The sequence below is a fragment of the Homo sapiens genome, chromosome 1 (assembly GCF_000001405.40).
Source record: "Homo sapiens chromosome 1, GRCh38.p14 Primary Assembly".
NCBI lineage: Eukaryota > Metazoa > Chordata > Mammalia > Primates > Hominidae > Homo > Homo sapiens.
Genome location: NC_000001.11, coordinates 155332736 through 155345792, shown reverse-complemented (window position 1 = coordinate 155345792; position 13057 = coordinate 155332736). Strand labels below are relative to the sequence as shown.

The following is a 13057-nucleotide window of genomic DNA, read 5'->3' as shown; positions in this document are numbered from 1 at the left end:
GACCAGCCTGGCCAAGATGGTGAAACCCTGTCTCTACTAAAAATTCAAAACTTAGCCAGGCACAGTGGCAGGTGCCTGTAATCCCAGCTACTCAGGAGTCTGAGGCAGGCAAATCACTTGAACCCAGGAGGCAGAGGTTGCAGTGAGCCAAGATCGCATCACTGCATTCTAGCCTGGGCAACAGAGCAAGACACTGTCTCAAAAAAAAAAAAAAAAAAAAAGCTGGGCATGGTGGCTCACACCTATAATCCCAGCACTTTGGGAGGCCGAGGCGGGCAGATCACAAGGTCAAGAGATAAAGACCATCCTCGGCCGGGCGCAGTGGCTCACGGCTGCAATCCCAGCATTTTGAGAGGCTAAGGCGGGTGGATCATGGGGTTAGGAGTTCAAGACCAGCCTGGCCAATATGGTGAAACCCCATCTCTACTAAAAACTGCAAAAAAAATTAGCCGGGTGCAGTGGCAGGCGCCTGTAATCCCATCTACTTGGGAGTCTGAGGCAGGGGAATCACTTGAACCTGGGCGGCAGAGGTTGCAATGAGCCAAGATCACGCCACTGCACTCTAGCCCGGGTGACGGAGTGAGACTCAGTCTCCAAAAAAAAAAAAAAAAAAAAAAAGACCATCCTGGCTAACATGGTGAAACCCCGTCTCTACTAAAAATACAAAAATTAGCTGGGCGTGGTGTTGCGTGCCTGTAGTCCCAGCTACTCGGGAGGCTAAGGCAGGAGAATTCACTTGAATCTGGAGGCGGAAGTTGCAGTGGGTCGAGATCGCACCACTGCACCCCAGCCTGCCAACAGAGCGAGACTCCATTTCAAAAAAAAACAAAACTGAGGTTTTTATAAACACTATCAGATGTCCATGAAAGGAATAGCTTACAAAATCCAGAACTTGGTACCCTTAACGTCATTTATGTTAGACAGTGGTTTAAGTGAAAAGAGCACTGGACTCAGAATCAGCAAAGGTTAGTGTTAGGCTCACTTCATAGGAGAGAGGGTAAGTGGCTTGCCTAAGTCATTAAGTGGGTTCTGTGCTTGGCTCTGCTATCTTTATATGTGTGATTTTGGGCAAGTCATTTTTAAAAAAAGAAGAGATTTAGGCAGTATTTCTTAACAATGTTGCTGTTGTCATGTTTAGGTGAATAGTTCTTGTTGTGAGGGATGCATTTCAGAATGTTTGGCTTCCTTGGACCCTGGGCATTAAATACCAGTAGCATACCCCAATCATTGTAATAATTAGTCTCCCTTCACACATTTTCATATGGCCCCTAGATTACGTAGAGCAACTACACAATTAGTGCTTCATAAAACATAGATTGAGATACTTAGCCTATCAGTTTTGTCCTCTACCTTCACTTTTCCAGGTTTAACAGCTCTAGTTGCTTTCATCTTTTTTGTATATCTGTGGTATATTGAAATGACTAAACAGTAAGTTTTGATTGAGAATTCTAGGTTGAGAAATAAGTAGGCTGAATGTAGTAATTCCAGCCCTTATACATTGGCTTTCTGCTCCTATCAGGAGGTTCCCATGATCCCTCGGCCCCACTATGCCCAACCTGGCTGTGTCTACTTCATCTGTTTGCTCCGAGATGACTTGCTGCTTCGTCAGGGTATGTATACAGGAGCTAATCCTACTTGTCAGAGGTGACCTTTCTGAATAGTAGGAAGTCTCTGCTGTCTCCATCATAGTCATTGTCTCCATACGGCCTCGAATAGCAATAGAATATAAGTTTTTATATCTGTAGTCCTTGTGCTTACATGCATCACCTCTCCACCAAATAATACTAATTTGAAATGATAGACATGTTACAAAGCTAATTTTAAGACTGGGAAAAACATATAGGAAGCTCAAGAAATGGAATGCCTCCCTTATATTATTGTCATAGTCTAGAATTGATTATCATCACTTAACACTGCTGCTTTTAGCTCTCTGTATTTATACTGTTTCAGATTATGAGTTCTATGTAGACCCTGAGTCAGATAAACAGATGCCTAACAGAATTCATACAAGAATTGTTTTATGTTTCTTCTGTGTTCTGGGTCTTCCTAGGTGACTGTGTGTATCTGATGAGGGATAGTCGGCGCACCCCTGATGGCCACCCGGTCCGTCAGTCCTATCGACTGTTATCTCACATTAACCGAGATAAACTTGACATCTTTCGCATTGAGAAGCTTTGGAAGAATGAAAAGTACGTGCTGAGGTCCTGTCCTTTTCTTCCAGCCGTGCTGTACCAGTGGAGCTGAATGTTCACTAGGATCTTGCTAATCAGCTAAACCTCTCCCTTCTCACTTTTCCATTGTTTTAGAGAGGAACGGTTTGCCTTTGGTCACCATTATTTCCGTCCCCACGAAACACACCACTCTCCATCCCGTCGGTTCTATCATAATGAACTATTTCGGGTGCCACTCTATGAGATCATTCCCTTGGAGGCTGTAGTGGGGACCTGCTGTGTGTTGGACCTTTATACGTATTGTAAAGGTAAGTGATCTGGGCTAGTTAAAAAATGACCTCGGCCAAGTGCAGTGGCTCACGCTGATAATCCCAGCGGTGTGGGAGGCCGAGGCAGGCAGATTGCTTAAGCCCAGGAGTGTGAGACCAGCCTGGCCAACGTGGCAAAACTCTGCCTCTGTAGCTGGGCATGGCAGTGTAGGCCTGTAGTCCCAACTACTGGGAGGATTGCTGAGCCTGGGAGGCAGAGGTTGCAGTGAGCCAAGATCGCACCACTGCACTCCAACCTGTGCAACAGAATGAAACCCTGCCTCAAAAAAAAAAAAAAGACTTCAATGACCTCATGTCTCCTGTTCATTGCCCACCCCATTCTTGTTGCCTGTATATGATTGCCTGTATATGATGAAAGATTCTCCAAGGCTAGCTATGAAACTTCAGAGAGCTCTACTATATTTTTTCCTTTCTTTTACCTAGGGCTTAGTACTCAATAAAAGTTTATTCTTTTTTATTAAATTTAGTTAATTTTGTTAATACTGTGTACTAATTTCAAATTCCAGCTCTACCACATTTTATCTATGTTCCTTTGTGGAATTTACTTAATCTAAGTATCAGTTTCCCATTGAAAATAAGGACTATCTATTTTAAAGAGTTCTTAAAAGATTATATAAAATAATCTACAAAAGCACTCAGCCTAGTTTATGGCTTAGAGTAAAAGCTCAATATATGTTATTTGTCACTATTAGCAGAGTTCAGTTGCCTAGACTGTTCTCTCAGAATCATAGCAAAATAGTCTAAAAGACTACGTATTCCATTCCAAAACTGACAGACTGCTTGCAGTTCTGTGTGATACTGATGAGTCCTCCTTGTCTCAGTTAAAAAGTGTTCATGTACAAATGTGCTTCCCTCAAATTTATGCCTCTGTTCTTTTCTTGTAACTCCTCGTAACCTGCTCAGTTTTTCCCTCAAAATACTCCCTCACACATCCCTGCAGCACTCAGTTTACATTTCTGGTTTATTTCCATCCATTCTGCTGTATATTTACTTTATCCTTTGTTGACACTAGTGTCTGAGAACTCTTTGTCCAGCAACTACCAAATGCTTAGTTGTCCTGCCTCTCTACATAGCTACCATGTAGGGTTTTAAGGGTCTAGCTGCTCTCCCATTGGTGTGTATGGGGTCTTTGGGCAGCTCAGGGGGAGAAATGGCTAAATAGGATTCCTTAACACTGGTTGGACCCATAGGGAGACCCAAAGGAGTAAAGGAGCAAGATGTGTACATCTGTGATTATCGGCTTGACAAGTCAGCACACCTGTTTTACAAGATCCACCGGAACCGCTATCCTGTCTGCACCAAACCCTATGCTTTTGATCACTTCCCCAAGAAGCTCACTCCCAAAAAAGATTTCTCGGTGAGTCTCCTTCCTTTCTTAACACTACATGTTAGGACAATCTGGTTCATGCATGAAATTCACTGAGCGAAAATCTTCACGTAGTTCTCTGCTTCTTCATCCAAATTCCATCCCAAACTATGGATATCTCTGTCTCTATTTGGGACATTTGAACAGCATAAGTACATTTCCTCACATAGACTGTATCTCAGAAAATTGTTGATATAGTGTTATACCTTTCCTCTTTTCTCTTTCGTCTGTTTAACCTTTGCTGGCGAGCCCCATTCTGTAGATTTTTGTTTTGTTTTGTCTTTCACACCCATAATTTTAAGAAGCAAGAACCCTGAAAAACTCCTTTTTTTCCTCTCTCTCATTGAGAACACACCCGTAAAAGAAGAACCTTCACAGAAAATAATTCAGTGCTTTTTCTTTTTATGCCTGCATTAAAAATGGAAGACACGATCATTATATAAAATTTGTGAGCCAGGCGCGGTGGCTCACGCCTGTAATCCCAGCACTTTGGGAGGCCAAGGTGGGCGGATCATGAGGTCAGGAGATCAAGACCATCCTGGCTAACACGGTGAAACCCCCTCTCTACTAAAAATACAACAAATTAGCCAGGTGTGGTGGCAGGTGCCTGTGGTCCCAGCTACTCGGGAGGCTGAGGCAGGAGAATAGCGTGAACCCAGGAGGCAGAGCTTGCAGTGAGCCAAGATCACGCCACTGCACTCCAGCCTGGGTGACAGAGCGAGACTCCGTCTCAAAAAAAAAAAAAAATTGTGAACATTGAAACCCCGTCTCTACTAAAAATACAAAAATTAGCCAGGTGTGGTGGCGCGCACCTGTAATCCTAGCTACTCAGGAGACTGAGGCAGGAGAATCGCTTGAACCTGGGAGGCAGAGATTGCAGTGAGCCAAGATCGCGCCATTGCACTCCAGCTTGGGTGACAGAGCGAGACTCCATCTCAAAACAAAACAACAACAACAACAAAACAAAATTTGTGGTGGTGGTGTTTATTGTATAAACATCATGGTGGCTCACGTGTGTAATCTCAGCACCTTGGGAGGCTGAGACAGGAGGATCACTTGAGCCCAGGAGTTTGAGGTTACAGTAAGCTGATTGTGCCACTGCACTCCAGCCTGAGTGACAGAGACCCTGTCTCAAAAAAAAAAAAAAAATTAAGTATAGAAGCATAAGAGGAAAAAAGTTATATATATACTCCACTATCCAGAAAATAACCATTATTAACATTTTCATTGTCAGGCTTTTTCCTGGTATTTTTTCTTTCAAATTGTTGAGAACCGTGTGCCAATTATACGTTTTGTCATTCATCATTCCATAAAGATTTTGATCATCCATTCATCTGTTTGCTCTAATAAAACCCTGGCTGAGCTCCTCATCTTTGAGTCTTCTTTTAGTGGGCCTGTCAAAAGTCATAGCTGTCACCCTGGAATCCTTAGCAATAATCTAACCAGGGCCAGGCGCGGTGGCTCACACCTGTAATCCCAGAACTTTGGGAGGCTGAGGCGGGTGGATCACAAAGTCAGGAGATTGAGACCAGCCTGGTCGACATGGTGAAACCCCATCTCTACTAAAAATACAAAAATTAGCCGGGCATGGTGGCATGCACCTGTAATCCCAGTTACTCAGGAGGCTGAGGCAGAAGAATCGCTTGAACCCAGAGGCAGAGATTGCAGTGAGCCAAGATCGCACCACTGTACTCCAGCCTGGCAACAGGACAAGACTCTCAAAAAATAAAAAGAAAGAAAAATAAGCTAACCAGAAAACAAAGCAATATGTTCCTATTTTCCCTATTTTTTTTTTTTAATTTTCCAGACCGTCTTTTGTATTCTCTGCCCACCACCAGGTCTTTCCTCGCATCTAGACTTATTTGGTTTTGCTTGCTCAATCAATAGCTTACTGACTAGCTTTGAAACCCCAGCCTTAACTACAGTCATGTGCAACATGTTTCAGTCAACATTGGACTGCATATACAACGGTGATCCCGTAAGATTATAATGGAGCTGAAGAATTCCTTCCTATCATCTAGTGATGTCATAGCTGTCGTAACATACTGCAATGTAATACCTTTTCTATGTTTAGATACACAATACTTACCATGGTATTACAACTGCCTACAGTATTCAGTACAGTATTGTGCTGTATATATAGGCTTGTAGCCTAGGAGCAATAGGCTATACTAAATAGCCTAGGTGTATAGTAGGCTATACTATCTAGGTTTGCGTAAGGATGCTTTATGATGTTTACATAACAATCAAATCACGTGATGACATATTTCTCAGAACATATCCCCGTATGACCCCAAGCGACATATGACTGTATTTAAAAGGTGAAATGGGATAGAGAAAATTGTGCACTTATCCCTCCCATTGTCATCCTGGGAGCACAAAATGCTGATAATCATTGTGGCCTGCATATTCATAGAAGTACTAAATTTCTCATCTTAAAACAAAGTCACCCAACTTGTCTACTGCCCTACTGTGTTCCTTATCCTGACTGGCCCCAGAGAAGAGCTAGCTCTCCCAGCTTCTACAATATGCTTACCTCTTCCTTTTCTTCTCTGCAGCCTCATTACGTCCCAGACAACTACAAGAGGAATGGAGGACGGTAAGTCCCATGGGGGGATATGAGGATCCTAAGGGATTGACTAAGAGCTTGAATGGATCAAGAAAACAAACAACTACCCACTCAGCTCCACTTCTAGGACTGGGTATTCTCTGCAGAGTAGCCCAGTGTAGTGCCAGCACTATGGAAGAACTAAATTTCAGTAGATGTGGTCCCATTATGGAGCCTTAATTGGAGCAACAGAGAGATGTGCAGGGAGTAGAGACAGAGATTTGGAACAGAACTCCAGACTCAGAAAAGTTTCTTTTAGATGTCTGTAAGCTTTCCCCATTACCTCAAGGTATATCAGCTCTTGGTACCTCTATCAAGGAACAGATGTAGCCAGTACAGTTTTCACTGAGCTATGAACTATGGGTTCATAGTTTTTATTTTTGCTTATTTTGTACGTGAGGATTATTCCTGAAGAAAGATGACAGAAGGCTTTTTCTTCAGTCTCCTCATCTGTTGAATGGGGGCATAACAACTGCTTTACCTACACCAATAGCTTACCATAAGGGAGAAAATATTAGACTATTGATATGAAAAAGGGAAGCACGAAAATTTAAAACTCCATTTAAATATTTATTATTGTAGTTGGATTATTGGCATCACAAGGTTGTGCCGTGCTTCTCTAGTCATGAAGCAGTCATTTAGAACCAGCTAAGCAATTTTATTAGCCCTTGTATATTTTATGGATTCCTATACCATTTGTGAATATTCCTAAGAGAAATAATAAAAGTTGAATTTTACAAATAAATTTCTGGTAAAGGTAGTGTTTTATTCAAATAATATAAAGTGAAAACGAGAGTCAAGTTTCTTACCTCAAGCTAAGGCTCTAACTGCTGGACTCCAGGATCTCAAGCCATCTTGAGGCCTCCTACCCTTCATCCCCTTTTCCTCCTCAAGTGTCTTACACTAAATTCAGATATCCTTCTGGCAGATCATCCTGGAAGTCTGAGCGCTCAAAGCCACCCCTAAAAGACTTGGGCCAGGAGGATGATGCTCTACCCTTGATTGAAGAGGTTCTAGCCAGTCAAGAGCAAGCAGCCAATGAGATACCCAGCCTGGAGGAGCCAGAACGGGAAGGGGCCACTGCTAACGTCAGTGAGGGTGAAAAAAAAACAGAGGAAAGTAGTCAAGAACCCCAGTCAACCTGTACCCCTGAGGAACGACGGCATAACCAACGGGAACGACTCAACCAGATCTTGCTCAATCTCCTTGAAAAAATCCCTGGAAAAAATGGTAAGAAGAATCAGGTTCATATCTAGGGTTTAAGATAAATGCGAAATGAGAGGGAATGGAAAAAAATTGTAATTACTGGTTCAGCATCCAAAGTATTCTAAGAAAATGGTATAGTTCTTTTATAGGCTTGCTTTTAGTTGTATCTTGGTAGTGAAACTGGAAGGTGAGATGATCTCCTCTAAAGAACCACCTTTTTCACGTAGGGTTGGAGGATGGGCTAAATTGCTTATAGGTCAGAAAAGGAATCATTGAGTTCGTGTGCTCTCCTTAGAGCTCAAATCTGGAATAAGGAGTAGGAGATTGGTATTTTGATGAGCCTCCTTGGTTCTGTTTTCAGCCATTGATGTGACCTACTTGCTGGAGGAAGGATCAGGCAGGAAACTGCGAAGGCGTACTTTGTTTATCCCAGAAAACAGCTTTCGAAAGTGACCCTCAAAGAATGAGAACCTCAAGCATCTGGGATCCAGTGGAGCTAATCAGTCCTGCCTCCTGCTCTCTGGGTATAGACAGGGGTGGGAAGGGTCCATCTGGGCAAGGGGAATGGGGCCATGTTGTTGACATTAGGTACTTAATAAGCCTTGGAGCTAGTGGAGAGGGAGAGGAAAGGGTTCTGTCCAAGACAGTTCAGGTTAATTAATTTTCTTCTCCATTGCTTCACCTTAAGGGTTAATAATGTAGAGAGGAGGGAGGACCACATTGATGACCAGAACCTACTGGTACTTTATAGCATTTGCCCCACCCCACAGCTTAGGTTTTTCTGTCATCCTCAGATCCCACAGGCATTGCGAAGAAGCTGCTTCCTATACCCAGGTATAACTCAAAATCCAAAGGGATAGGGCCAGGATCCCTATTCCTACCCCATCTATTCTCTGTTGGCTCCAAGAGCTACCCCAGAGACCTTAAACAGAAACAGTAGCTGAGGCTTCTTCCTAGATACCTGACTAGGGAAGTTTGTCTCTCCTTTCTTGCCCAACCAGGTCAAAGTAAAATGTGAGTTGACAGCTCAAAGCACTTGTAACTGCTGCCCCCTCCCTACCTCTACTCCCCAAAATGGAATCATGGGATAGGGAAGGCCCCCATGGGGTCAGAAGGGCACGGTAGTTCTTGCAATTATTTTTGTTTTACCCTTCATAACCTGTCAAACATATTTTTTTCTAATGAGAAAGCCAGGCCCCCGCCAGCACACATGCTGTTTTTAATGCGCTGTAGTTCTTGTGTGTCTGCTGTGCTGTGCAAATGGAGATTCAGTTCAAAATAAAATCATTTAAAAACCTACATAAAAAGAACTCTAAACCCACCCCTGCAACAAAAGTCACTACATAAACTGTTCAGCAGTATTCACCTATCAGAGTATTTGTTGTGAGTATAGATTATCAATTGAAAACACTACTCTTGTTTTCTTAATTGTACAGTTTTCAATGTCCCTTTCTTAAAGAGACAGTATATTTCTCTTCACCCCTAGCCCATCTTCCCTCACCCTCCTGAATGACATCAGGAGGTATATCCAGGGTGTCTCCTTCCTTCCTACTCTCTTGACCAGAAGTTAACAGACTATACTGTCTCTTTAAAAATAAAATTTAAAAAGCTTTGTTGTCTTTTCAGACATACATATGCATATATGTTTTAGATGTTCTTATAAGAGAAAAGATGGTTTTTAAATGTGCCAAGTTGTGTGTGTGTGTGTATATATATGTGTGTATGTGTGTGTATATATATATGTGTGTGTGTATATATATACACACACACACACACACCTGCTGTGTGATTGGTAAGCAATACAATAGTAAACATGTCCCCATTACTTTTTTCTAATATTGGACCAATGCTGTCCTAATTGTACATTTCCCCTTATGGTGACGATGCTCTGACTCGTTTAGGTAGACACATTGACCACCTTCCATTCCATTAAATATTTTTTCCTTTTTCCCCTTTCTGTGTCATTCTTGAGGAAAAAACAAAAGAGAGAGGGGATGCCAATGATCCCCTTGAGCAGAGAAAAAGCAAAATAAATATTTTATTAAAGAAAAAAGAGAATTAAGAAAATAGTTTGGAGTATTTTCTTACTGTAGAGAAGCACTGTACATTACTAAGAGACCTGGGTATAAGATACTCACATGTGGAGCTGGAAAAATCGCATGTCCAAGCCCGTTTGAGTGGTTTCTTTTGTTTTTCATTGCAGGGAGTGGGTGGGAGGGAGGTGGGACTAGGGGCACTTTGGGGGTCTCCTTTTAGTCAAAAGCGAGAAAATGACAAGAAAGAGATTAAAATTCAATGTTTCCTTTATAGTGTTAAACACTAAAATTTTAAAAAAGATGAAAAAGAAAAAAAAACTTTGTAAAATGCGAGAACAGAAGCAAAAGACACTACGCTCTGTCATTTTATCTTTCTTTTGTTGAAAGACTAAAAAAAAACTGAAATGTTTTTTAGACAATCAAATGTTAGGTAAGTGCAAAAACTTGTTTTTTCTTACTGGTGTAGAAATTAATGCCTTTTTTTATTTTTCAGTTATTTTATAATAACGAAATAAAAAGAACCCCCCAGCTGCCAGGCGGGTTTTGGTGTTTGAAATGCGGGGCAAAGCACTACATCACTGCAAATAGATACAGAGTTAGTCTGCATGTCTGTAGGCTGTGTGATTGCGGAAAATATAAATGCTGCTAATATATTTCCTTTTTACAAAAGCATATCTAAATAGATGATTGTTTTGATGTTAATCTTTGTAAATTATGTATTACCAATTTTAACATTGGATGTAATTGCATACAAAGCTTGCATCTCAATCCTTGAAAGTCTAGTATTAAATGGAAAAAACTTTTCCTAACTGTGGACTGATGAGCTTGCTATTTTTTCCTCCTTCTTATCCCCCATTTATCTTCCAAGACAACCTCATCCTGTTTCCAAGGGGATCTTTCTGAAACAACATCATAAACATGCTAGGCTGCACATGAGCACACTCACTGCCGTTGACTACTGGATAAAGTCATTTCTTCAGTACTAGGATCTTTCTAGTCTGGACTCAGCCTAATCAATCAGCACAGTAATAACACACACCAAATGTCCAGTTGCTTTTTTGTTTTTTGTGTTTGAGACAGAGTCTCCCTGTTACCCAAACTGGAGTGCAATGGCACAATCTCGGCTCACTGCAACCTCCACATCCCAGACTCAAATGATCCTTCTGCCTCAGCCTCCCAAATAGCTGGAACTACAGGCATGCACCACCATGCCTGGCCAATTCTTGCACTTTTTGTGCAGACGGAGTTTCACCGTGTTGCCTAACGTAGTCCAGCTGTTTTGTTGGGTTTTTTTTAATTTTTTTGTTTTTGAGACAAGGCATCACTGTGTTGCCCAGGCCAGAGTGCAGTGGCACATTATAGCTCACTGCAACCTCAACCTCCTGGGCTCAAGCAATCCTCCCAACTCAGCCTCCTGAGTTGCTAGGACTACAGGGGCGCACCACCACGCCTGGCTAATGTTTTTATTTTTTGTAGAGACAGGGATCTCCCTGTGTTGCCCAGGCTAGTCTCAAACTCCTGGGCTCAAGTGATCCACTCAACTCAGCCTCCCAAAGTTCTGGGACTACAGGCATGAGCCACCACGCCTGGCCCAGCTGTTTCTTTTCTTTTCTTTTTTTTTTTTTTCTTTTTTTTTTTTGAGATGGAGTCTCGCTCTCACCCAGGCAGGCGTGCAGTGGTGCAACCTCGTCTCACTGCAACCTCCGCCTCCCGGGTTCAAGGGATTCTCCTGCCTCAGCCTCCCAAGTAGCTGGGATTATAGGCGCCTGCCACCATGCCTGGCTAATTTTTTTTGTATTTTAGTAGATACAGGGGTTTCACCATGTTGGCCAGGCTGGTCTCAAACTCCTGACCACAAATGATCCGCCCACCTCCACCTCCCAGAGTGCTTCGATTACAGGCCTGAGCCACCGCACCCAGCCCCAGCTATTTCTTAAACATGCCATGCGGGCGGATCACCTAAAGTCAGGAGTTCGAGACCAGCTTGGCCAACATGGTGAAACCCTGTCTCTACTAAAAATACAAAAAATTAGCCGGGCGTGATGGTGGATGCCTGTAATCCCAGCTACTCCGGAGGCTGAGGCAGGAGAATCGCTTCAACCCGAGAGGCAGAGGTTGCAGTGAGCCGAGATTGCGCCACTGCACTCCAAACTGGGCAACAAGAGTGAAACTCTGTCTCAAAAAAACAAACAAAAAACCATGCCATGCTATTCTACATCTCCATCCTTTGCACACACATGCATCATCATCTCATTAATTCTCAGTAACAACCACTGAGGCCGGCAATATATAACTTTAGGCCACGTTTTTTTAGGCCACTATGTGTTAGACCATTTCTATCATAAACAGTTTCCATATATTTGTTTATTAATCCTCACAAAAGCCCTTTGTGGTAGGTACCAAATCCCAATTTTATAAATGAGGAAATTGAAGCAAAAGACAATTTAAGTAACTTGCCCAAGATCACATAGTTAATCTTCATAATAGTCCTCTGAAGTTATTCCCATTTTGTAAGAGTGAAAACTGAAGCTCAGGAAGGTTAAGTAACTTGCCAAAGGTCACCCAGTAACTAGTGTTGGAGCCAGAACTCCAAAGTCTGTGTACTCCTCCACAAATAGAAAAGTGTCATAAATAGACAAAAGTGACCCTACTAATTAAGGAAGATAAACCCATTCCTGCAGATAACTGAAAGGCCTACCAAAACTTTGTCCCAGACATGAGTTAAACATTTAGGCTGGGAAGCCGGGCACGGTGGCTCACGCCTGTAATCCCAGCACTTTGGGAGGCTGAGGCAGGTGGGTCACCTGAGGTCAAGAGTTCAAGACCAGCCTGGCCAACATGGAGAAACCCTGTCTTTACTGAAAAATACAAAAATTAGCCGGGCGTGGTGGCACATGCCCGAGGCCGAGGCAGGAGAATCGCTTGAACCTGGGAGGCGGAGGTTGCGGTGAGCCAAGATCCTGCCATTGCACTCCAGCCTGGGCAACAAAAGCGAAACTCCGTAAAAAACAACAACAAAAAAAAAACCAGGCTGGGAGTTCAGCTAGAATACAATTGCTCAGAAGTAGCAAGACAGCTTACTCCAACAGTTCAATCTCTATTCCTATAAGGACTTGAGGTTCAAGACTAGATCAGAGTGCCCTACTGTTACATAATGGTTTCTTCATGATTGCAAAAACAATATGTTACTGTTACATTTTTTTGAGATTATCTTTAATTTTTTTTTTTTTTTTTTTGAGACGGAGTTTTGCTTTTTATTGCCCAGGCTGGAGTGCAATAGCGCAATCTCGGCTCACGGCAACCTCTGCCTCCCAGGTTCAAGCAATTCTCCTGCCTCAGCC

The 13057-nt window shown here is 42.6% G+C and overlaps 1 protein-coding gene across 12 annotated transcripts in view; it reads left to right on the top strand.

Moving 5' to 3' along the window:
- The window catches only part of ASH1L (ASH1 like histone lysine methyltransferase), a 227935-nt gene extending 217410 nt beyond the window's left edge, over positions 1-10525 (top strand). For all 12 annotated transcript variants that reach the window (XM_047425248.1, XM_017001785.2, XM_006711450.4 and 9 more), the window contains 7 exons: positions 1520-1610; positions 2051-2189; positions 2307-2479; positions 3691-3857; positions 6425-6465; positions 7403-7704; positions 8042-10525. In XM_047425248.1, the coding sequence (XP_047281204.1) occupies positions 1520-1610; positions 2051-2189; positions 2307-2479; positions 3691-3857; positions 6425-6465; positions 7403-7704; positions 8042-8133 (1005 nt within the window). In that variant the 3' untranslated portion in view covers positions 8134-10525. The remainder of the gene's footprint in view (positions 1-1519; positions 1611-2050; positions 2190-2306; positions 2480-3690; positions 3858-6424; positions 6466-7402; positions 7705-8041) is intronic.
- Positions 10526-13057: the final 2532 nt, after the last annotated feature.